At 42.5% G+C, this 26,481-nt stretch overlaps 1 protein-coding gene across 11 annotated transcripts in view; it reads right to left on the bottom strand.

The window, feature by feature from the left end:
* Window positions 221–26,481, bottom strand: part of FAM114A1 (family with sequence similarity 114 member A1) — a 77,934-nt gene continuing 51,673 nt past the window's right edge. For 8 of the 11 annotated variants that reach the window (NR_033290.2, NM_138389.4, NM_001330764.2 and 5 more), the window contains 7 exons: window positions 23,067–23,190; window positions 16,627–16,718; window positions 14,348–14,509; window positions 13,586–13,725; window positions 10,170–10,242; window positions 4,939–4,992; window positions 221–2,504 (listed from right to left, as the gene is read on the bottom strand). Coding sequence is in view for 10 of the 11 variants with exons in the window: in NM_138389.4 (NP_612398.2) it covers window positions 2,403–2,504; window positions 4,939–4,992; window positions 10,170–10,242; window positions 13,586–13,725; window positions 14,348–14,509; window positions 16,627–16,718; window positions 23,067–23,190 (747 nt within the window). In the remaining variant the exon portion in view is untranslated. Of the gene's footprint in view, window positions 2,505–4,938; window positions 4,993–6,426; window positions 7,493–10,169; window positions 10,243–13,585; window positions 13,726–14,347; window positions 14,510–16,626; window positions 16,719–17,625; window positions 19,110–23,066; window positions 23,191–26,481 lie in introns of those variants that run through there. The other 3 variants (NM_001375793.1, NM_001350631.2, NM_001350635.3) reach the window with 3 other exon arrangements.

The following is a 26,481-nucleotide window of genomic DNA, read 5'->3' as shown; positions in this document are numbered from 1 at the left end:
CACTTGTTTCTCTTTTACATTTCCACTTAATATCTAAACCCATCTGATGCAAAAAACAAAACAACAAAAAACAACAAAAAACTGATGTGAAGAAATTGTAAATCTATATCATTTCCTCTGCCCTACACATAAAAAGTCTAAAATTGATGAAGAGGTAAATGCAACATTTTCATCAGTTAATCATTCTCTAGACTTAATAAAAACATTTCTGGCAATCAGAAAAGGGGAAAAATCTTTAATTGATTTCTCAGGTAATTTTTTTCCAGATTGTACATAAAGTGTTCTTATGTTCTCTATTTGGATGTTTCAGGAGACATACAAATGAAATACAGTACATAGACAAATGAAATGCTAATAAGAAGTAGGATGATATTAAAATATCCTTACTTTGCCTGTATGGAACAAAGGCAGTCTACTCCATCGGGGAATCAAAGCAAATGTGAATAAGAGGTTTCCACCTTGCAAAACTGTGAGCTTCATTTGCCCTGGAGAGAACTACTAGGCAAGGCTTCACATGACAGTACCTGTAGGGATGTCCATGGGGCTGTGAAGCAGGTGTATTGTATCGAACATGCAGCTGCAATGAAGGCGTGGAGCTCAGGAGAAGCAGCCACTGACAATGCCCCTCCTGGCCGCAGGGTCTTCTGTGCAGCCTCCCATGGATCAATATACCAGTTAGTTAAAACACACATCAGTATTTTCTGTCCTTTAGCAACGATGATGATATTTGCCACCAGCGAGTGTGATCTGTGAGGCGATTTTAAAATGCAGTCCTGGGATTCTACTGTATTGAAACACCTTTGATTTTCTATTTGAATACTTCCAAGCTTTGTAATTATGCCACCATGTGCTCGTGATCGTAAGAAATTAATTTTAAACTAAATATTCTTCAGTATCCCTTTTCATATATATTTTCACCTCATATACATAGTTTGGGATAAAATAGTGTAAAGAGTATAGGAAAATGCAACAAATTAAAGGGTAGGACATTAAATAAAACACCAATTTACCTTGTTCTTCAAAGTTTTTAAGGTTCAAAAATTTATTGGTATTTTAAGCCAGTGGTCCCCAACCTTTCTGGTACCAGGGACCGGTTTCATGGAAGACAATTTTTTCACGGACTCGGGGTAGCGGGATGGGGGTGGGGGATGGTTTCGGCACGAAGCTATTCAACCTCAGATCATGAGGCATTAGATTCATCAGGCATTAGATTCTCATAAGGAGTGCACAACCTAGATCCCTCGCATGTGCAGTTCACAACAGGGTTCGCACTCCCATGAGACTCTAATGCTGCTGCTGACCTGACGGGAGGCAGAGCTCAGGCAGTAATGCAAGCTCTGGGGAGCAGCTGTAAATACAGATGAAGCTGTGCTCACTCACCCACCGCTCACCCCCTGCTGTGTGGCCTGGTTCCTAACCAGTGCCACGGACTGGTACTGGTCTGTGGCCTGGGGGTGGGGACCCCTGTTTTAAGCAGTTTAAGAATTATTCTTTTTCAGAATATCTACCTCTACTGGGATAAGATCACGTTTCTTTACTGTGAGCACACAGTAGGTGCTCAATAAATGCTTGTTGCAAGAATGAATGACCGGCCGGGCGCGGTGGCTCAAGCCTGTAATCCCAGCACTTTGGGAGGCTGAGGCGGGCAGATCACGAGGTCAGGAGATCGAGACCATCCTGGCCAACATGGTGAAACCCTGTCTCTACTAAAAATACAAAAAAAATTGGCTGGGCGTGGTGGCACACACCTGTAGTCCCAGCTACTCAGGAGGCTGAGGCAGGAGAATCGATTGAACCCAGGAGGCGGAGGTTGCAGTGAGCCGAGATTGTGCCAACGCACTCCAGCCTGGCGACAGAGTGAGACTCTGTCTCAAAAAAAAAAAAAAAAAAAGAATGACAATATGTTCCTATTTTTTACCATAATAGGTAAAATCTATAAGTAGTGTTATTTTTGCCTGCGACATTTATGTAACAAAACAAAGTTCAGTTTTAGAATTGATTTAAAGTAATACTATAAGAATGGAACATTTAAAGGTTGAAACATAAAGGATTAAACAAAAGTCTAAGGTCTCCCCATGAGTTTCTAAATATAGCATGCTTAACCAGGAAAATGAACACGAATATTTGTAAATAAATTTCAGATGAAAGGAAATTTTCAATATAAGCTGTGTAAGTTTAAATTAACATAAAGAAAACACAATTGTTTGTAAAAACAATTATACACATTGAGAGAAATGATAACTCTCTCTAAATTTGCATTCTCAATATTGTCTGTGCAAAATTGCTTGTAGTGTCCTCAAATGGATGTCTGTGGCCAGGCGCACAGAGAACATCCCCTTAAATGGTACATATTGAGGCAAGGCGGCCAGCTGTCTCCTTTAACTAGATGGAGTCTGGCCAGGTCACGGCTGTGCTTTCAAACAACTGGTCTGGATATGTGAGACCTGCAGAACAGGCAGCAGCAGCTGGAAGGCATCCTGTATGTACGTTGTACTGTTGCAGCCCTGTGAGAGGAGAAAAATGAGGTTGAAGGGTTATTTTCATAGTTCAACCTTGACAATACTTCCAATTGGATAATGTTCCCACTCTTCAACCCACCCCCCATATTGGATTATATTTATCTTGCAATATTGGTGCTTAAAGCAAGTGTAAACACATGCTTTTGGATGGGGCATGTCCAGCTCTCAATTATCTATACTAACAGAGAGAATAATTCACTCAAAATGAGGCAAATCATTTTCATGGAATTTTTTTTTTTTTTTTTTTTTGAGACAGAGTCTTGCTCTGACGTCAGGCTGGAGTGCAGAGGCACGATCTTGGCTCACTGCAACTTCCGCCTCCCAGGTTCAAGCAATTCCCCTGCTTCAGCCTCTCGAGTAGCTGGGACTACGGGCGTGCACCACCACGCCCAGCTAATTTGTTTGTATTTTAGTAGAGACAGGGTTTCACCATGTTGGCCAGGATGGTCTTGATCTTCTGACTTCGTATCTGCCCACCTCGGCCTCCCAAAGTGCTGGGATTACAGGCATGAGCCACTTCTATGGACTTTTAAGATCCATCAGTGTGTGTACTTTCTTGGCCCAGGGTATGTCCTGTCTTATCTATCTCTTTCCCAGATCAACCCTACTGCCCTGAAATAACACAAAAACACTGTATGAAGGAGCTCAGTTTGCCCCACCCTACAGATAGATAAGCAAGAATGGTCAACATAAAGCTAACTGGAGATACTATTGGGCAGTTATTCATGGCAAACTTGAACACTGTTATCCTCCTATGCATGGTACTTTATGTTTGGTTGGGATAGCTGAAATTATTATTCCTGTTTTGTGGTGCACTAACACACAGTATTGGATGGAGAGGCCATTTAAAGGTTAGGGTAACTAAAACATGTGAAAACATCTATTGGGGAAACGGAAAAAACATTTGACCTCATATTTCTCATACCTGACATGGTAAGTTAATTTTATGCCTTCTGGGTGGCCAGGGGAGAGATTTTTCTTGTACCACATTCTGCCTCTGACTGCCAGGGTTTTCTCTTAGCTATGTCTGTTCCTCCAAGACCTGCCCCTACAGCTCCTATTCCTTCTGGCTGATGCCATCCCACTGTGCGGCCGCATCCTAAACAATAATATTCAGTGCCATCACTTAGTTATTTCTGTACCTTTGTCGTTTTCCTTAACAGTAAGGTACAAGTCCCCAAAACAATGATATAAATATATAGGTAGCTGATATGGTTTGGCTGTGTCACCACCCAAATCTCATCTTGAATTTTAAGTCCCACAATTTCCACATGTTGTGGGAGGGACCTGATGGGAAGTAATTGAATCATGGGGGCAGGTCTTTCCCGTGCTATTCTTGTAATAGTGAGTAAGTCTCATGAGATCTGATGGTTTTATAACAGGGAGTTTCTCTGCACAAGCTCTCTTGTCTTGTCTGCAGCCATGTGAGATGTGCCTTTCACCTACCACCATGACTGTGAGGCCTCCCCAGCCACGTGGAATTGTGAGTCCATTAAATTTCTTTCTTTTGTAAATTGCCCAGTCTCAGGTATGTCTTTATCAGCAGTGTGAAATTGGACTAATACAGTAGCCCTCTTGAACTTTTGTAATTTCCAAATTTTGCAATGGACAGCCACTTCAGAAAGCAAAATCCTATGATATATGCATTGCCCATGTTCAAACTTAGCTTGTTAACACCTTGTGCCTTCAGCTGGGTGCCCCGCGGCTGTTACTTATAGTTTAGCCCCTAACAGAAGATTTTCCTCTACCAATCTTCTACCTTTCCTCTACAGGTGGAACACAGTGCCTATGATTCAAGAATGAGAAATCTTCCTGGACCTCTTCTCTCTTAGGCTACCATTTCTGGCAAAGACACAGCAGTGTTGGTTGGGGCAGCTTTATATCAACACAACTGATGCTGCAAAGTCCTAGTGAGTGGGCAGGCCACAGAGTGAGAAGTCACAGAGGATGGTGTCCCTTGTCATTGACTGGGCATAGGCTAAACATTCTCCTTGTCATTGTTGCCAGCTTGGACATTAGACCCAGCTAAACCAAAGGTTATTCTAAATAGAAGGAAATGCCCATTTTTATGAAAATCACCGATGAGCAATAATCCCTCATTGCAGCCAATAATCATAGTGTTAAATCTAGTGTCAAATTTGGCAGCAGAAATCTGCTTCTGCTGGAGGAAACAGTGACAGAAATAACGTGCAAGCTTAGCATTTCTTTTTATAATCAGGAATTCTTGAAAATTAGGTATTGTTGCTTCATCAGAGGGTTTACAGCTGGTTGAGCTACACAAATTTACTCAAAAAAGACCTGATGATGAGATTCAGAATTGCAATAACATTTGCTGTGGGGGAAGAAAGGCAAAAAAAAAAAAAAGTAGTTCTAACATTTACTTTGATTCAGAAGCACTTTCTCTCCAGAGGCCACTTACCTCTAACAATACACTACTGATCATGGGGTTAAGGACCTCGGCCTTCTTGTTGCTCTGTGGAATCAGAAGTATGAAATTGACAGATTAGGTGCTCATACTACAAGGCTTGCCACGTAAAATGTAATACACTAGCTTTGTTGAGGGATCTCTTGCAGAGGAAGAGGAGGGGAAGCAGAATGCTTCCTACAGACCAGGCTTCATACCCGCTGCTGCACCTTTTTAGTCTCATTTAATTGCAACGGAAATCCTAGGAGGTAGGCAGGTATCATGATAACCCCAATTTAAAGAGGAGAGAATAGGGATCAGAAAGGTTGAGTAACTTGCTTAAGGTCACATAGCTAGAAATTGAAACCGAGACCTTTTTCACTATGTAAATTTTGTAGCAGGTCTGGGATAAGAGTGAAGTGAGGCAGGTTGAGTTGTGTAGGCAGAGTGGATGCTGTCTTTACTTAAAATTTTGATATTTTGATGATCATAATATTTTGGCACTTTTATTTTAAAATATATTTCATTAAAATATCTATCTAGATTCCTGAGGTTTTTTTCTGTTTCTTTTTTGGGCCTCCTTCCATTTTGCAGGTGAGTTAAGTCCCTCACTCACCTAACCTAGTCTAAGCCCTGGTCTACCCCTTTTTTTTTCTTTCTTTCTTCTTTTAAATGCAAACATAGAAACTTGGTTATAGGGCATCTTCTAGAAGAGCAGCAAAATTAAGACATTCTTAAATATAACTTGAAAACAGGTCTGCAGATCCACATTTGAAAAATGCAAATATACATAAAGCAGAGAGTACAGTGCCTGGTATAAAGCAGGGGCTCAAAAAATGAAAGGCAGGCCAGGTGTGGTGGCTCAAGCCTGCAGTCCCAGCACTTTCAGAGGCCGAGGTGAGTGGATCACCTGAGGTCAGGAGTTTGAGACCAGCCCGGCCAACATGGCGAAACCCTGTGTCCACTAAAAATACAAAAAAATTAGCTGGGCATGGTGGTAGGTGCCTGTAATCCCAGCTACTCAGGAGGCTAAGGCAGGAGAATTGCTTAAACCTAGGAGGCAGTGGTTGCAGTGAGCCGAGATGGCACCATTGCACTCCAACCTGGGTGACAGAGTAAGACTCCGTCTAACAAAAAAAAAAAAAAAAAAGAAAGAAAGTGAAAGGCAGAGTTGGTATCATTATCTTTGCTTATGCTATCGGTCTATCAATCAATAGTCTTCTCTGTCTAAGAGTTCAATCTACTCTTAGACCATAAACCATTAAAGGGATTGGAGAGAGAGAGGATGCAATCTTAATAAGTCAGCTTCTCTTATAGTACCTGGAAGAGTTCAGAGTAAACAAAAATACATAAATTAAATATATCTTCCCAGAGCAGCCCACTTTCATTGACGTTACTCTACTGAGGGTGAAGTAATGTCTTCCTGGGGAAATCATGATGGAGCCTTGGGAGAAACCTCTTTAAAAACCCAGTCATTTTAGTAAGTAACCAGAAAATCCATTATGGTATTTGCTTTCATGTTTATTTGATTATCAATAAACCTCTAAAATATAATCAAATGAGGGCAATAAGATGACATTGGTTTTCAGAATCAATGAGGTATGCAAGCAATTTAAATAGAGTCTAGAGAGCAATACACACTCATTAACTTCAAGTTATGAATAATGGCTGCTTTAGAGAACAGAAACACTGACTTGATGTAAATGATTCATCACAGCACAAGATCAGAGGTATTGTTGTGGTGAGATGGCCTTTCTAAATTCTATTTTAGATTCAGGTTTTTCTTCCCCATAATGATAACCTGTGTGGTCCCGATTTTGTTCATGCAAACACTTGTATGTGTATGTGTGTACATATAAATATATATGAAAGTTCAAGTGCACAGCCATCTGCCACAGCCTTGCTACATAAAATATGGGCCATGGATTAGGAACATTGTCATCACCTGACTGCTTACTAGAAATACAGAATCTCAGCCTCATCCCAGACCTACTGAATAAGAATCTTCATTTTAACAACATCTCCAATTGATCCATGTGCACCTTAAGTTTGAGAAGCACTGTGCTGGAATACAATATGCAGAAGGAATGGAAAGCAATACCATGAATACTAGTAGGTAAATTAAGATTTAACACATATTATGCAAAATATAATACAAACATGCACACAGACATTCACACTCTCAAGCCTAAACAAACACAGAGAACCAAAGAGTTGGTGTCTATCTGATGTATCTGGTGGATAACCAACTGGGAATTAGGAGATCTACTGAGAGGCTTGAGTGAATCAATTCACCCCTCTAGGCCTCAGTTTCCTCACCTAGTAAACTGTGAAAAGGGTAACAAGAGGGTGCAATAGAGCCTTAGGAACCGGTGTCACTAAGGCTATTCCATCTTGATTAAGACCTCGCACCTCTCTGCAAGCCTAGTGTTTATATCAAAGTCCATGGATATCAGGTAACTTGGACCACACGAGGGTGCAAATGCATTTTGTCCAGCCTATCATATCAATGAGCTTCCACCTCCCTTGTCATTCTGCTTGTATACAGTGAAGCTCTATTGCTGAAGGCCTGAAATTAGACAAACATAAAAGGTGTTGTTTTACAAAATAGGAGAAGCAGGTCAGATTTCTTGACAGCAGAATGAATAGGCGGTGCGTAGCTCACCCCTTATTCACAGAGTCACTGACAGAAGTGTGGGGGACAGGTGTCTTTTTGGGTGACAGCCAGTACCATGGTCATTTCTCATCTTTTTAGAAATGCTCTTGGCCTGAGGAGGAGGAGGGGGCATGCCCCAGAAGCCAGGTAGGTCTGCAGGTTTGCACAATGAGACACTGTCCCCAATTGCTGCTGAGTGAAGCCAAGGTGGACATGTGACCCATGCTGATGAGCTATTCAAACCTTTTTACCCAGGAACCAGGAATTTGAATGGAAAGACACAGGGTTAGGAACTGCTGTCACTGAGTCACATTAATAGCAGCACATTAGAGAAAGTATGTGTAGGTCGGGCGCCGTGGCTCACACCTGTAATCCCAGCATTTTGGGAGGCCGAGGCAGGTGGAGCACCTGAGGTCAGGAGTTTGAGACCAGCCTGGCCAACATGGTGAAACCCTGTCTGTACTAAAAATACAAAAAAATTAGCTGGGAGTGGTGGCCCGCACCTGTAATCCCAGCTACTCAGGAGGCTGAGGCATGAGAATCACTTGAACTTGGGAGGCAGAGGCTGCAGTGAGCCAAGATCGCGCCACTGCACTCCAGCCTGGGCGACAGAGCAAGACACGGTTTCAAAAAATAAAAAAAGAGTGTGCCTGAGCTCTGGTGCTGGGTCCCCACAGCGGTTCATTTCCCCCAGTGCCTTTCATAAAGCCTCCTTTCTGTCTAAATTTTTTAGAATGTGTTTCTATTGCTTCCTGGTATGGTTTGAATTGTGTACCCTGCAAAAAGACATATTGAAGTCCTAACCCCCAGCACCTCAGACTGTGACCTTATTTGGAGATAGGGTTGTTGCTGGTGTGATAAGTTAGGATGAGGTCATATTGGTCACGCGCTAACCAAATAGGCCTGGTGTCCTTATAAGCAGAGGGAAATCTGGACACAGACATGCATGGAGGGAAGGTGATGTGGAGACACAGGGAGAAAGCAGCCATGTCAAGACACAGAGAGAGACTGGAGTTTTGCAGCCACAAGGCAAGGAACACTTGGGGCTACCAGAAGCTGGAAGAAGCAAGAAAGAATCCTAGAGGCTTTGGAGAGATCAAGGCCCTGATACCACCATGCTTTCAGATGTCTAGCCTCCAGAACCACGAGAAAATAACCCAGTTTATGGTACTTTGTTAGAGCAGCCCTAGGAAACTAATATACTTGAAACCAAGAAAACAACCTAATTAGAATAAGAAGTAAACCTGCTGTTTCTCATGGAGAACATCATTAGACTTTGCATCCAGTGTTTTAAAGAGAAAAAACAGGAAGGTGAAAGGGAATATTTTCCACTTTTCTCTGCGCCTACTAAGGTGAAGCTAAATAACATGACTGATTTCCAAAGAAAATAACCAGAGGCCATACCTCCAAGTAAATGCTGAGCCTTTCAGACTTGTTACCCTGTTAATAGAAACACTTGAGCCAATCAGTAACATTTTTTTCTTTTGGTTAAAGTCAAGTGCCACAATGAAGCAAAGAAAACTCTTATCTCTGCCAGGCGCGGTGGCTCATGCCTGTAATCCAGCAGTTTGGGAGGCCGAGGCCGGTGGATCACTAGGTCAGGAGTTTAAGACCAGCCTGGCCAACATGGTGAAACCCCGTCTCTACTAAAAATACATAAGTTAGCTGGGCGTGGTGGCGTGTGCCTGTAATCCCAGCTACTTTGGAGGCTGAGGCAGGAGAATCGCTTCAACCCAGGAGGTGGAGGCTGCGGTGAGCCGATATTGTGCCACTGCACTCCAGGCTGGGCGACAGGGCGAGACTCAGTCTCAAAAAAAAAAAAAAAAAAAAAATGAAAACTCTTATCTTGCATGGCTTATAAAGTAGGCTCTGAGGGCAACAGTGAATATTCAAAATTAATAATTTTACCAGAGATTCTGAAGTACATACATCACAGATATTAAGTAATAAAAGGAACCTTCATCTGACACTTTAAAAAAAACAAACAGGCCAGGCGCGGTGGCTCACGCCTGTAATCCCAGCACTTTGCAGGGCCGAGGTGGGCGGATCACGAGGTCAGGAGATCGAAACCATCCTGGCTAACACGGTGAAACCCTGTCTCTACTAAAAATATAAAAAAAATTAGCCGGGTGTGGTGGCGGGCGCCTGTAGTCCCAGCTACTTGGGAGGCTGAGGCAGGAGAACGGCGTGAGCCTGGGAGGCAGAGCTTGCAGTGAGCCGAGATCGCGCCACTGCACCCCAGCCTGGGCACCAGAGCAAAACTCCGTCTCAAAAAAAAAAAACAAAAAAAACAAAACAAAAATCAAACAAACAAACAAACAAAAACAAAGAAAATAAGGGCCACAGAGGTTTGAAAACTCACTCACCCAACATCTTGTAAGACTGAGATGGCAGATTCAAGGCTAGAACCCAGTCAGGAGAGTCCTAAGCTGCCTGTCCTTAGAGAAGTTACTCTTGGCCTGACTTCAGCTTACATCATGGCATAGCTTCAGTTTTATGGAGCTACTAAAGAAGGCGCTGCATCTCCACATTTCCTCACAGACATACTTCCCTTAAAAAAGGTGAAAAAAATTCAAGACTGTAATCTTACCCCAACAGTGGTTAAAGAATTCGTAAACTTCTTTGATAAAGAGGCCACTTCATTGCACATTGCAGTAGTTAATCTGAAAGAAGAAAAAAAAAAAAGCTTGGATGTTTTCAATAAGGTAAAATAATTTAACTGTCACGACCATTTCTGATACTAATTCAGTATGACATTTAAAAGAATGCCACACATGCTTGAAGATGCTCTACAGAAATGTGCAGTCAGGCGGTTTTCCTTAATCATCTTCCATGATTCGCAATCACAGTTTAATCTAATCCTGGTTTTCTTTCCATGCTTAATTAAAGAATAATCATCCAACTCACTTGACCTCTTTTAGAATCAAAATCATGTGCAGGAAAATATCAGGCTTGAGCTCCACATGTGTAGAGCTTATACACTCTGGCCAGACGGCTGGTTTCCAGCTTTTTGGTCATTTCAAAATAATCATGAGCATTCACTGAGGCACTATGTTAAGCACTTTTGTGTGCCTAATCATATTTAATCCTCAGGGTGACCTTATGGGTTATATTATTATTTCCATTTTATATAGATGGAAAATCGGACATTTAAGAAAGTTAGGTGGCCGGGGAACAGTGGCTCACGCCTGTAATCTCAGCTGTGGGAGGCCGAGGTGGGTGGATCACCGGAGGTCAGGAGTTCAAGACCAGCCTGACCAACATAGTGAAACCCTGTCTCTACCAAAAATACCAAAAAATTAGCTGGGCGTGGTGGCAGGCGCCTGTAATCTCAGCTACTTGGGAGGCTGAGGCAGGAGAATCACTTGAAGCCAGGAGGTGGAGGTTGCAGTGAGCCGAGATCATGCCATTGCATTCCAGCCTGGGCAACAAGAGCAAAACTCCATCTCAAAAAAAAAAAAAGTAAGAAAGTTAGGTAACCTGTTTAGGACCTGCAGGAGAGGAGGGATTCAAACTCAGGTGTCTCTGGATAGTTTGATTATGTTTTTATTATATGATTCAAAATAAAGATCCTGTAGAATATGTAGAATGTGTTTTTAATACTGATATCAAAATTCCAAGTTTATGCTGGCATTCCACTTCTAGAACTTTATCCCAAGAAAACAATGCAAGATACACACAAATATTTAACAAAAACAACATTTATCCTAACACTATGGATGATGACAAAAACTGAAAACAATCTGATTACCTAGTAATGTAGGTAATGTCTGATATTTTTCTATCAGTTAGTGCATACAGCACTCATGAATAGTGATTAAAATGCTATGGGAATGATAACCCCAAGTTAAGAATCTTATATGTTAAAATATCTAGTAAAGTCAGTAGAGGTAAGTTTTGCTTTGATAAAAGAGGCCTTATCTAATATATATAGGTTTTATGAGCTATATCCACCCATCCATCCACCCACCCACCCATCCATCCAAAAATTGTCTGCAGAAAGGGCCAAGAGTAAAGCCAGGAGATATCCCAGAGCCATTCAGTCTATGTTCTTGGGCAGGTGGGTGGGGAGGCACTTATTGTACAGGCAAATCAGGGACTGGGTGCAGCTTGGTAAGGTCAGGACAATCAGGGCTAGGAATCAGAAAGGAGCAAAGAGTAAGGTCACTATCCATACCTAGGGGCTTCTGAACTTTGGCCCTCTTCTTTCCAATTAGTACTGCAAAGATAAACCAGTACCTAGAGATTGTCCTCAGCATTTTCAACTTCCCTGACTTTGTCCTTTCCTCTTCCTTCTAAATGTTTAGGCAAGTGCCTATTCTTTCTAGGAATATTAAGGTGGGGATTCTGTGGTTCTTATAATAACTTTGATTTTTATATCCTTAGATATGGAAATCTAGACTAGATGACGGATCTTTACAAGTGAGGAAAAATGCCGCCAGTACAAAGACACTAATGCTGACTTTTTGGAAGATCTTTCCACTAAAAACTTACTCCCCAACCGACAATGTCAAAGCAGTAATAAGCAAAGACTAGTTAGCTAGCAAATTGAGTGTGCTGAGACCTGTGTGTGTCCATCCCTGGATATTTTCAGGGGCTCTATTTTGGCTCCTGTGTCTGTCTAATAATACGAGGGTACTTAGGCCTATGTTAATTTTCCACATCACAGTATACAGTCATGTGCATAAAAGTTAAAGGCTTATTTTTCAGCTCCATACCAACTATTTTCATGAATGCTCCATATCAACTATTTTCATGTATATTCACTAGATTGCATATTCATATATGTTACACATATATTTTAATTTTACTTAATAAACTAATGATAATAGCTATTATTTATTGAAGAACATGATATAGGACAACACATACATGCACACATACAACCCACAGTGAACTGGTTAATATTAGTGACCGTCATCACTGGAGTTTGGAACGTGGAGACCTGGTATAAGTCCCCAGGAGCAGTGGAGTGTATTTGCCTATTTTGTGAATCTAGCTAGAAGTTACATTAAAGTGTCCTTTCTCTATTCATGTATATGTTGAAAATGTAATTACCCTCAAAAGGTTTTACTTCTAAGACTTTGATCTATTAAATAAGTACTTTCACGCCTCATGCAATGATTTAGTGTGTTTTCCCTTAAATCTCTTCATAAATAATTCCTAGAATGGCTAGTTAAGTCTTCTTCTTGCTAACATAATGCACTTGCTAAAGAAATCCTTATTTCTGGCTAGGCGTGGTGGCTCACGACTGTAATCCCAGCACTTTGGGAGGCCGAGGCAGGCAGATCACAAGGTCAAGAGATGGAGACCATCCTGGCCAACATGGTGAAAACCCGTCTCTACTAAAAATACAAAAATTAGCTGGATGTGGTGGTGCGCACCTGTAATCCCAGCTACTCGGGAGGCTGAGGCAGGAGAATCGCTTGAACCTGGGAGGCGGAGGTTGCAGTGAGTTGAGATCGTGACACTGTACTCCAACCTGGTGACAGAGCGAGACTCTGTCTCAAAAAAAAAAAAAAATCCTTATTTCTTAAGATGACCGTAGAACAATGGAATTGGTTGACTTGAAATTTGAATCTTTGGCCAGGTATGGTGGCTCATGCCTGTAATCGTAGCACTTTAGGAGGCTGAGGCAGGAGGACTGCTTGAGCTCAGGAGTTTGAGACCAGCCTGGGCAACGTGGCCAGGCCTGGTCTCTGCAATTAATTAAAAAATTAGCTGGATGTGGTGGCACGCACCTGTGGTCCCAACTCCAGGGGAGACTGAGGCAGGAGGGTCACGTGAGCCCAGGAGTTTGGGGCTGCAGTGAGTCATGATCATGCCATTGCACTCCAGTCTGGGTGACAGAGTGAGATCCCGTCTCAACAAAACAAAAAACAAAAACAAACAAAAAGAAACCTGAATCTTCTAGTGGCTTAGAGGGTGTGGGTGTGTATGTGTGTATCTGAATGGTACCTATATATAAAACTGGGAAAATAAGAATTTAAAGTAACATTTACTTACTTTATTAGAACTTTTGCTTGGTCCTGAGCTGGTTTTTCCTCTTCTTGTCCATGAAGAATTAATTCTGCTACTTTATGAAGCTGCTCAATACAGCGCGCTGTTACCTCCGCCAGACTTTCAATGGACGACATGTATACTTCCTGAAATGAATAGACACAAGCAAGAAATTTTTTACTGAGCAGATGCTTTTTTAAAAAAATGCTGTGACATTAGAAGTGATATAATTCTTTCAAAAATACCCCAAATATAACCCGAAATAGTTAACCTGATGATTACAAGCATATCTAAGACTTTAAGTGTAATGTTGCCAGGAAGGGCTGTAAAGCCCCCACGGATGTGGCAGGTCTGTTCACAGCTGCATCCCCAGTGCTTACAGCAATGCTGGGTACAAAACAGGCAGGTGCTAAAGAAGGTGTGTGGAAGGCCGGCTGAATGAACAGAGCTCAATGGATATTTTTCCTTACAGTGATCTAATCACTGCAACCTCCACCGCCCAGGTTTAAGCAATTCTCATACCTCAGCCTCCCAAGTAGCTGAGAGTACAGGCACACGCCACCACGCCCTGCTAATTATTATTATTATTATTTTGTATTTTTACTAGAGACAGGGTTTCACCATGTTGGCCAGGCTGGTCTCAAACTTATATTTCTATAACACGGAACAAATGAAAAAGAAATGGCCTCTCCTCAATTAAAATTAAGCTGCTAATAAAATGAACACACTCTTATTACCTTGTAGGCAGACAATCTAGAATGAATTTACCTCTATGGTCTTAGTTTTCTTTTCCTCCTTTTTGTCTTCTTGAGGGTCTTGAGATTTCTCTTCCTTTTCTTCCTTCTTTGTTTCTTCTTCGGACACTTTTGCCACATCTACTGACACCACGGTTTGATCCTCTTCCACCCAGTCATGAGCCCTCTTCATGGCCTGCAGAGGTCCCCAACCAAACAATCCTTTTATGGCGCAAATATGGAAACTAAGTCATTCCAACCCCAAGACTAGAATCAAGTGTCTCTAAGCCTTCAAGAATGGATCTCTGTATGTTTGGAGGATGACGGGGCAATTTTTCAACCCCCGAAAAAGATAACCTTGTTGTTGCTTTCTGGTAAATATAAAGTAGAAAAGAGGGACAGAACAGAAGGTATGGAAAGAACAATGCAAGCCTGAGGACTCTTCAAAAAGCATTTAAAAATGATATTCAGATAAGAATAAAAATGACAGTCACATTGAAAAATCTATGGTATATTTTTCACTTTTCATGACCATCTATAAAAGAATAATAGTATTTTTAAAAATATGTGTTAGAAATTGAGCCATGGGGCCGCGGCTACAGCAAATGTCCTCATCTGATATATTTCAGGAAGCTCTTCATGTTTCATGAACCTAACAATGTATCATGCTGGGAAGGTGAAGAAGGGCTCTGCGTTTCTTGATTCATGACAGGTCTTCCACCCTCAAGGGGGAGAAGAGAAGCGCTGCTGGAAAGGTCTGGTGCTGCTCTGTGTCTAGTTTAATTTCACATGAGTGCAGTTTACGCACTCTGTGCCCTGCAAAATCATGGCTAAATTAAACAATCAGAAACCTCCTCCCCTGCCTGTTATTCCCTGAATTTAGAACGAAGGGGCAGACTCACTCCAATTTTATCATTATAGTTTAAGCTGTTTGCTTAAGTAAAAGTTGTTTTGGGGCTTACACTAAACTTACTTCCCACGTTAAATCTTACACGCCAAAGTTAAAAATATCAGAGTGTTGAATGGTAAGTTAACAGCAAGAAGATCTGGGGAGAGAAAACCCAGCAAAACTGTCCTCAGTGTGTCCTCTATTACAGACAAAGATTTAACCCTAAGCAAATAAGCCAGTGGAATCTCAGAGCCACCACATGCCCCCTCTGAGCAGTGGCAGATGCTGCACGGAGATGAATGAGGCAACTTCCCACTGTGTTCAAGTCACTGACCTGCCAGAATCAGTGACCCCCATCAGAGATAAAGAAATTACTCATCTCACCTCCTCATTCTGCCCTTTTCCTCACCCACCTGGATAAGTGAGTACCTATGTAAACCACTGCTTGCTAAAAAGAAGAAAGAAAGAGAGAGAGAGAGAATGGAAAAACATCATGCAGTTTTAAGTAATTAATGATCATGGCCTCTAAAGAAACTTCACAGCAAGACCTTGTACTAACTTGCAAAACACACTGTGGTATTATTAGAGGAACCCAGATTGTTAAAGCTGGAATGGTCTTAGACATGATGCAGCCCCTGTGCTCCAGGTGGGAGGAACTGTGGGGTTTACCTGGCTGACGTGCCTCTCTCTACCTAATTCTGGCATGTTTCTTTAGAAGGGGGGCGGGGTGAAATTTGAAAAAAGCCTCTTGGTGATTCTGCACCCTTTTTCCCTGCCCTAACCTGATGATAACTACTGCTCCGACATAACATTCTATTTTGCCATGAAAAGGTAAGTGACTTATTCAAGGTTACAAGGTAATTACTAGTAAAATTACAACTAAAATGCAGATCTCATGACACAGTCTAGCATGTTCTCCACCACCACATTCCATTATGTTGCCTCCTCAAATCTTTTCGTTTTTTCCTTTTTTTAAAATTTGAGAGAGAGTCTCACTCTGTCACCTAGGCTGGAGTGCTGTGGCACAATCTCAGCTCCCTGCAACCTTGGCCTCCTGGGTTCAAGCGATTCTCTTGCCTCAGTCTCCCGAGTAGCTGGGATTACAGGCATGCGCCACCGCACTTGGCTAATTTTTGTATTTTAGTAGAGATGGAATTTCACCATGTTGGCCAGGCTGGTCTCAAACTCCTGACCTCAGGTGATCCACCCGCCTTGGCCTCCCAAAGTGCTGGGATTATAGGCGTGAGCCACGTGCCCAGCCCCTCCTCAAATCTTAATTACTGACCTCAAACTCCTCTCCCGGCACTATGCCACATAAGATTTGGGGGTTTTCCATTTCAGGTGCATCTCTGGAACTTTACAACAGAGACTCTCCCCTGCACTGTTTTTTTTTAACCAGAAACTATAAATCAGACAGTGCTGACCTTATTGAGTTTGTCAGGTGTGGCCGCCACATGTAATTCAAAGAGAAGCTCTGTAAGCATGCGAGCAAATTCTTCTCCCTTTTCTTCTAAGCCTAGAAATAGAACACGACAGAAGAAGCGTGATTTATTTTTCATCCTTCAGGATGTGGCAGCTCCCCCAACATTACAGCCTGCAGCTGGGGTAGACTAAGTGGAGGTTGTAGCAGCCTGCCCGCCAGCCGCTGGGCAAAGATGAATGTCTTCCATTCGTGAGCATGGCAGTGAGGCAGCAGATGCATCCGGGTGCAGGGCCGCTGAAGTCTTGCTGTTTGGCAGCTCCAGCAGGGACACCCCCAGGACAACCCAAAGGCAACAAGAGGTCAGGGAGGGACCTCGCTTGTCTTGTTCACAGCTGTAGGTGGTCAGCAGCTATTTGCTGAAAGAAGGACTGGGATGAACAAAGGCATGACCTTTCTCAGGCCTAAGAGACCTGGGACAACATCATATTTATGACTTCGATATTGTTATGCTTAGCATTGCAACCCTAATGGTACCCAGGTGCCCTTTTATGTCCACAGAGCCACAGTGCTGAATAAACCGAATTAGTCTCAACCATCTCTCTGGAGAAATTTCCCAAGGTTCCCTAGGATACCTGGCTGGTCCTACAATATTTCTTAATGATCTGTCTTCCTTTCACCCTGGAAGCTACTGAGGGACAGAGACAGTATTTCTTCTGCTCACTCTTGAATCCTAGAGTATCTAACACAATACCTCACATATCATAGGTGCTAAAATGAATATTTACAGAATGATTTATTAATACATTGCCTAATATATAATATGATATATTAATATATATAACAGACAGTATACGTATTAAAATATCAAATATCATAAAATAAAAAAATTAGGATCATTGTGGGCAATAAAGAGATTGTTAAAGATTACAATCTTATTTTTCTCTTTTAAAGTATCTGCAAGGCCATGCCATTTTTAACAGTTCTGAAAGGTGCCAAAGAATGGATTCCACATGGATTTATTACCAGTTTGGGGGAGAATAAAGGCATCATTTATCTCACCTGACTACATGATCTCAGAACTCTCTAAGAAGAAAATACTGTGGCTTATGCCAGTGGGGGAAGGCAGAGCCTTGAAGAGGGGACTAAGCCATGTGAGAAACACTGCATCCAGCCCTTGTCTGGAGATGCTATTTTCTGTTTTATGGACAAAATGGTTGATCTGCAGCCCACGAAGATAGCCTGGCATAGCTTGTAGGTATTTATTCAAAACATTTAGCTTAGATCCGCTTATTATTACCTATAACTCATCTATTCTCATGAGGGAAACAGATCAATAATCAAAACAGATAAGTAGTCCAGGCACGGTGGCTCACGCCTGTAATCCCAGCACTTTGGGAGGCCGAGATGGGTGGATCATGAGGTCAGGAGTTTGAGACCAGCCTGGCCAAGATGGTGAAACCCCGTCTCTACTAAAAATACAAAAATTAACCGGGCGCGGAGGCGGGCGCCTGTAATCCCAGCTACTTGGGAGGCTGAGGCAGGAGAATCACTTGAACCTGGGAGGCAGAGGTTGCAGTGAGCGGAGATCATGCCACTGCACTCTAGCCTGGGTGACAGAGCAAGACTCTGTCTCAAAAAACAAAACAAAATAAAACAAAACAGATAAGTAAATAACATCAACGTCAAGGGATACGTTTTATGGAGAAGTATAAACAGGGCTAGCTGGGGTTTAGGAGTTTTAAACAGGAGGTGCTGTGGTCTGAATGCCCCTGTCCTCTCCAAATTAATATTTTGAAACCTAATACCAATGTGATGACAATAGGAGGTGAGGCTTTGGGGGTGTGATTAGATCATGAAGTGGGGAGCCCCCCATGAACCGGATTAGTGCCCTAAAAAAAGAGGCCCCAGGGAGCTAGCTGGTCCCTTCCACCATGTAAGGACACAGCTAGAAGACACCAGCTGTGAACCAGAGATCAGGAGACCTCATTAGACACAGAATCTGCCAGCACTTTGAGCTTCGACTTTACGGTCTCCAAAGCTGTGAGAAATAGATTTCTGTTGTTTATAAGCCACATAGTCTATGGTATTTTGATATAGCAGCCTGAAGGGACTAAGACAGGAGGGAAGCTAACTAAGAAGGTGACAATTGAGTAATGTGCTAGAGGAGGAGAGCAATGAGCCAGCTACAAGATGTCAGGGGGGAAGAGCCTTCCAGCTGCAGTGTAGCAAGAGTAGAGTCCAGGAGGGAGTATGCCTGGTTCATCCATGGGAGCAGCAAGGACGTCAGCGTGGCTGCAGCAGAGTGAGGCAGGTGTGCGCAGGGAGGAGGCAGAGACGGCTGTCTTTGCTCATGACGAAGCCACAACAAGCAAATCGTTTTAACCCAAAGAGGTAAGTGCTCTAAGGGGGCTTTTGCAGCATATAATCCAGTTCTCAGAGGGGTGTGAAGCAGGGTTCCTGGAGGAGGTGATGCCTGAACAGAGCCTTCAAGAAAGAGAATGCATTAATCACACAAAGGGAGAGCTGGAGGGCTAGACAGTCTCAGAGATAGAGAGACAGTCTCAGAGATAGATAGAGAGGGCCTGGCACAGTGGCTCACGCCTGTAATCCTAGCACTTTAGGAGGCCAACGTGGTTGGATCACTTGAGGTCAGGAGATGGAGACCAGCCTGGCCAACGTGGTGAAACCCCATCTCTACTAAAGGTACAAAAATTTGCCAGGTGTGGTGGCATGTGCCTGTAATCCCAGCTACTTGGGAGGCTGAGGCAGGAGAATCACTTGAACCCGGGAGGGCGGAGGTTGAAGTGAGCTGAGATTGCACCACTGTACTCCAGCCTGGCCAACAGAATGAGACTCTATCTGGAAAAAAAAAAAAAAGGGGAGAGAGAGAGAGACAGAGCTAGAGAGCTAGATTGATTCCATCAGAAGCTGAGATTCTCTCTGCTGGGCAGAGGTCTTGGTCTAGTCTTCCCCAGGGAGGGACAGTGAGAGGGGCTGGGCACACCTGGGCAGCATCGACAAGGTCTCTTCCCAAACTGCCTGCCCCTCACTCTGTATGAGGCAGTGTTGCAGAGCACAGAGAGTTCTGGGCTGGGACTTGGAAGGCATGGATTCTACCCAGCTCCTGCATCTGGTAGTTCTGTGGCCTGGGGCCAGTCACAGAGCTTCCTCAGCTTCCACTGCCTCCTCTGAAAATTGAGGACAATAAAACCCACTCATATCCTCTTTACAGCTGTTGTAAGGACCAAATACTGCAACAAACGTGAAAGTGTTTTGTAAACACAAAGTTTTATGTAAACAAATTATGTGCTACACTGATACAAACATAGGGAGATTAAAAGTATTTGGGAGGAATCAACACTAAATTAAGATACAAGCACTTTGTAGAGCTCCAGCTTTTAAAGGTGTATTAATTCTGTAAAACATACAAAGCAAGTTTTAGAAACTATTTTGGAAAAAAAAAATCATAGAGAAAAATGGAGGTTGATAAAAACAGATGATAATAAATATTGCAACAAACAATACCTATTACTACAACTCTTGGTCTGTACACATGGCCAAGAAGATCTTCACCGAAGCAATAAAAATAGAAAATGGCCTTTTAAAATCTCTTCTCAGCCATGGTAAATCACATTAAGGGATCTATGGCAGTGTGATAAAATTACACTCTGCTGGAAAAACAAACATGCAAATCATTAGCTAACATTATTAAATGCAGAGGAGACTGATATTAAATTCATCTAAAAAATGATAGTTTATTACATTTTCTGAGAGTACCAAATAAATTATTTAGTTGTTAGGGGGCTTTTAGGAACATAATGCTTACAAGGAAAAAAATGGATGAAAATGCTCAGTTTTCTTCCAGAATTTTGCTCCTAGATTTTCTGCTGGATTGCTCCTGGATTTCCCCCACTGCAAAGATTCCTTACGACAGCTTTTGCATAATCCCTGAACCTTTCTGGGGTTGTGACACTCGATAATTGGATTGATTTAATGACAACGTCTATTCTTTTCTCCCAGTTCTTCATTAAGTTTCTGAAGGACATTTATTTATTAAATTAAGTTAATTAACATTAACAGTGTTTTGAAAATCTGGAGATGCCCTCTTGGGAAAATTGATATATTATGGGAGATAACAGGGTTTTGTCAAATTAAGGCGAGGCAAACCTACCATTGCTAAAGCATGCTGTTCGCACTTCAGGTTTTTCTATGTGTATATGTGAATGTGTATTTAAAGAAACTGAATTTACTGAAGGTCTACACTAAGACTAGAACACATCACTTACAGCAACATTTTCTATTTAAGTTGAAATTAAGTTTCCCCTCCAAGGAATAGCACCAGTTGGGGATGCAATATTTCTTTAGTTGCATTGGCAACAATATCTCCTTGATGTTGGGGGGAATCTGGGATTCTCTTTTTGTCCTTTCTAAATGACACCCTTAATAGGACCAAGGTCTACCTCAGACACCATGACTCTTGAAGAGAAATAGCTTGATTCTTTTTGGTGATTGCTAGTCTGGGAAAGGGGCATCTATTAGTTCATCCTGGGTCCACAAGGCGAGCTACATGACCTTTGACAGCTAGTGTTTTAGTTTCTTCATTAGAAAAACAAAGACAAGGCTGTCATCCTTTGTGACTCCGGGAGGAACATACTAATGCTCAAAAACATGATTCCCAACTGTCTCTGATACGGCCTCTTTCTATGCTTCAGTATAATTGATTCTTTTATTTTGATGCAATGAGCATAAATCTCATTAAGCTGAAGGCATGTAAGGTCAGTGTGTGGAGCTAAAGAGGGAAAGGGTGTCTAAATGACAGTTTCTGAATGCCTAGAATAATTTCGCCCTGAACATCAAGGCTCAAGCATTTGAGCTCTTGTGTCAGAGCTTTGATTAAAAGAATGTAACACATCAGGCACAAAACACTGCCAGCGATTTAAGAATGCACATTCTCATTACTTTGCATGCCGGGTAATAACAACGAGCATAATAATACATGAAAGTTATACTTTATTGCACCTTTACTTTTTCCTGGCATTGTGTTCGCACTTTAAGTAATAAGCACAGCTAACATTTTCGAGCAGTTCTGTGTGCCAGGCACTGTAATATATGTTTTTAGATATATTATCTAACATGACCCCCTACAACAGCTCTTGAACCTGATATATATATCATTGTCTCCATTTTACAAGTGAAGATACTGCATTTCAGAAAGGGTATATAACTTGTTTAACGCCATATAGCAAGAAAATGGTGAAAATGTTTCAAATGGGACCCTTCCAAAGGTCCTAGGAGAAGCCAGACCTGTCTCTGAGGTTGTCTGACCTTTCAGCATAACCTACACAAAACAACTGTGGGTCGGTGGTTATGACATCAGTAAGAAATCTCTCTTCAAGTACATAGCAAATGTTTTACTCTCTTCTGCTCCCAAATGGACAACCTAAAGGAATCATTAACCATGCCCAACCCAGAGAATAAGTTTTCCCCTCTTAAGGAAGCCTTGCTTCTCATAAAATAAGTTCTAATCTCCTTGAGGTCAAGTTATCATCTGGGTGGAAGATTATTGGGAAGTGTGGTTGCCAACCTGATGTAGCATGCCCTGGTGCACTGTCAGAAAATGGTACAGACTTTGTCAGAACTGAACTTTTTAGGTAGAGCGTAGGACACCTGCAAATATACCCGAACTCTTACACCTATAAATTAAAAGGAATAAGAAAAATATACAAAAAAATTCAGGGAAAGATTTGCCCACCATCAACATTAATCACACTAAATAACTTTCACATGCAGATAAAAATTATAAGTGGCAGCATAGGCCAGGCAAGGCGGCTCATGCCTGTAATCCCAGCACTTTGGGAGGCCGAGGCAGGCAGATCATGAGGTCAAGAGATCGAGACCATCCTGGCCAACATAGTGAAACCCCGTCTCTACTAAAAATACAAAAATTAGCTGGGCGTGGTGGCAAGCGCCTGTATCCCAGCTACTCAGGAGACTGAGGCAGGAGAATCACTTGAACCCGGGAGGTGGAGGTTGCAGTGAGCCGATATCACGCCACTGCACTCCAGCCTGGCAACAGAGCGAGACTCCATCTCAAAAAAAAAAAAAAAAAAGTGGCAGCATAAACTCTAGTCATCAGGGCTCTGCTTAGCACATTGCAGTCTTTGTTTATCTGACTATATGCATTCACATTTACTGCATGCCTGTGATGTGCCAGGGATTGTGCCGAACACCAGAGGACCAATAGGAGTTCCCGACCAGTGAAAGAGAGTCTTATAAATCAATGTGACCAGCTCCTGTAACAAGAGCAGATGCACAGTGTCTTTTGGAAGCATGGAGGAGGAGCACTTGAATTAAGTAATTCAAAGGGCTGTGTTCATTAACAGCAGTTTCGTAAGGATTATGCCAACAGTTTGTCTTGCTATTTAAGTTATTTTCCTTTACCTTGTTCTTCTTGATTTTCTTCATTCTCTAATTCTTTGGCTGCAAAGATGTCTTTAATGGAAATTAGGTCATTTTTTAAGAGTTCCAGCTTCTCTCCATCAAGTGATGCTAAAAATGACTGAACCTGAAAAAAGAAATAGGTCAGCACGACTGTCATCTTTTCTTCTCGTTAATAACGTTTACACACAGCGGTCCCCAGTTTTCCCAGGACAAAAGTGATTCATGGTGTGGGAGGTATCGCTGGGTTGAATGTTGGCTTGATGCATGTTAACTGTGCAACTTTGTGCAAGTTAGATAAGCTCTCTGGGTCTCAGTTTTCTCATTTTTAAAGGGAGATTCTTTGTGGAGTAAATGAGATACAAAATGTGAAATACTTTGCACAACTGCACACAGTATGTGCTGCATAAATGGTGGTGGTAGCTCTTCTATCACAGTGGTTAAAAACGCAGTTTGACATCAACCCTGCAGTCAAATGTCAGCTCCTCACTTACTATGACCTTCGGTAACTTATTTAACCTTTTAATGCCTCAGCTTCTTTATCCATAAAATGGAAACTAATTGCACCTCCTTATAAGGTTGTTTTGAGGGTTAAATGAAGTAATCTACTTAAAATACTTAGAGTGATGCTCAATACTTATAAATATACATGCATACGGCCAGACGCGGTGGCTCACGCCTGTAATCCCAGCACTTTGGGAGGCCGAGGCAGGCGGATCACGAGGTCAGGACATCAAGACCATCCTGGCCGACAGGGTGAAACCCCGTCTCTATTACAAATACAAAAATTAGCTGAGTGTGGTGGTGCATGCCTGTAATCCCAGCTACTCAGGAGGCTGAGGCAGGAGAATCCCTTGAGCCAGGGAGTCGGAGTTTGCAGTGAGCCGAGATCGCGCCACTGCACTCCAACCTGGTGACAGAGCGAGACTCCATCTCAAAAAATAAATGAATGAATAAATAAATAAACAAACATGCATCCATATATAAACATAAATAAATACGCATCTATAGATGCACATATATACTTGCTAGATGTCAGTTATCACACTGGGTTTACAAAAATGCACAAGACACATTTTTCTTCTCCAACATCTTGCAGGCTAAAGGAGTGAGGCTGTGTCAACCAAGAACAACTATGACAGGCATGAGAGGAGGGTACAGTGGAGGGAAGCACTAGGAAGGGCACTGTCCTTCCCCCTTGGGGAACTGAGAGGGTACACACAGGGAGGGCTTCACAGAGGAGGTGATGCTGGGACTGACGTCTTCCCTGCTCACTGTCTTTAGAGCCCCTCTTTTGAAACTATCCTCTGTATACAGTTAACAATTATTTGTACAGGCCAGGCATGGTGGTTCACCCCTGTAATCCCAGCATTTTGGGAGGCTGAGGCGGGAGGATCACTTGAGCCCAGGAGTTTGAGGGCTCAAGCAATCAACATAGTGAGACCCCATCTCTATAAAAAATTTTAAGAAAATTAGCCAGGAATGCTGGTGCACGCCTGTGGTCTCAGTTGCTCAAGAGGCTGAGGTAAGAGGACTGCTTGAGCCCAGGAGTTTGAGGCTGCAGTGAACTATGATTGTGCCACTGCACTCCAGCAAGATCCTGTTTCAAAAAAAACAGAACATTATTTGTACAGATGGCCGCTCATTCTCTGAAGATTGATTTGAATTTCCAAAATGGTAAAAGGGCACAGGGAAGGCACCTTATAAAATATTAAGTATAAGTATAAAGTAGTAAAGTTTTATTTTTTCATTCTGCAGGTCAAACTCTTGCTCTGGCGAGAGAGACAGCGGTGGAGCCGTAGTCCTCTTTGGAATAGGTTTTAATATTCATTGTGGTAATAGATGAGCACATCGGGATAACTGAGAGAGGTAGAGAGGGCATCTGGGATACCAGGACACCATTTTCCTAAAAGTTGCTAAAGCTCATTGCCAGGGCATAATGCAGCCAGCACTGAGGCTCTGGGAGGAAGCTCTGCAGGAAGTCATCAACACAAAACCCATTAGCGTGGAGTTCAGCAGGTGGAAGTAAATGTGCCCAGACTCATGGCTGCACGCCACTCCGTTCTGCCCTGACCTTCTCAGACTCTTCATTTCAGCTCGCACACTCATGTTTAGGGGTCAGGGTCCCAGATGTGCATCAACGTATTCTTAGGCTTCAGATCTATTTTCTAAACTGCAGTTTTCTAACATTAATTATTGAATAAATGTGTTTGAATACCATGCTTAGTGAAAAGGTATGCAGACCTGTGGAACATTTGTGTTTGCCTATGTCTTCTGGCGGATGGCAATCATCTGGAAGGGAGAGCATTGGGGTTTTCCATTTGGGGCACCCCTGGGAAGGGTTTTCTTTAGCGAAGCACTCTTTTGTCAGCATCTTTCCACTATAGCATCTCTCCTGCTTTCTCCTAGCTCATTGCATTATGCCAAGGCCATGTGCATTGAATCTTTAGTTCAATCCAATAATAAATATGACATAATCACACACTTCTCCATAAGTATTTATGGAATGCTGACTATATGCTTGGCACAGTGCTGAGTGTTGTTCAGGACACAGGGTAGAGAGGCTGTCTTATAAATCTTTTCCTTGAAAGGAGGTGTGTGCTGCCATTGTGAAGATTTTTGTTTACTATTCCTAACTGTGGAGTATAATGGTGATGAAAATGATTAGTTTTTCTGTTCTTTTTTTTTTTTGAGACGGGTCTCATTCTGCTGCCCAGGCTGGAGTGCAGTGGTGCAATCTTGGCTCACTGGAACCTCCGCCTCCCGGGTTCAAGCGATTCTCCTGCCTGTCTCCTGAGTAGCTGGGACTATAGGTACACGCCACCACTCCCTGCTAATTTTTGTATTTTTTGTAGAGACAGGGTTTCGCCATGTTGGCCAGGCTGGTCTCAAACTCCTGACCTCAAGTGATCTGCCTACCTTGGCCTCCCAAAGTGCTGGGATTACAGGTGTGCCATCGCGCCCAGCCGAAAATGATTAGTTTCTCTTTAACCTTTATCAAACACCGCATCGCCATGCCTGTTGCCATCCTAGAATCAATCTAGTAAAATAGTAACGATAGTAATTCCTTATATTTCCATGATGGGGTCTGAGTTTCAGCCAATGGACTGTCAGCAGAGAAGATGTGCATCATGACTGTCAGCAGGGATGATGTGCATCATTTCTAGGCAAGGCTTTTAAAACATGGGAGTGTCCTCTCTACACTCTCTCTCCTTATGCTGATGTGACTCAGAAGACAATAAGCCCTCAGAGGGCAGGGAAATCCAACACTGCCTTTAGGCTTCAACACAGGGGAGTCCCCAGGCCCAAGAAATGGTCCCACCAGAGCCCACATCTCCATTCTAGAATACTCTCCAGGTCACCAAAGGGTCCCTCTCACAGCCTGCATGGAACTCTTCCCTAGGCTGTGCTCCTGACA

Source organism: Homo sapiens, chromosome 4, assembly GCF_000001405.40.
Source record: "Homo sapiens chromosome 4, GRCh38.p14 Primary Assembly".
Lineage (NCBI taxonomy): Eukaryota > Metazoa > Chordata > Mammalia > Primates > Hominidae > Homo > Homo sapiens.
Note: the sequence above shows the minus strand (reverse complement) of the source record. Positions and strands in the feature narration are given on the sequence as shown.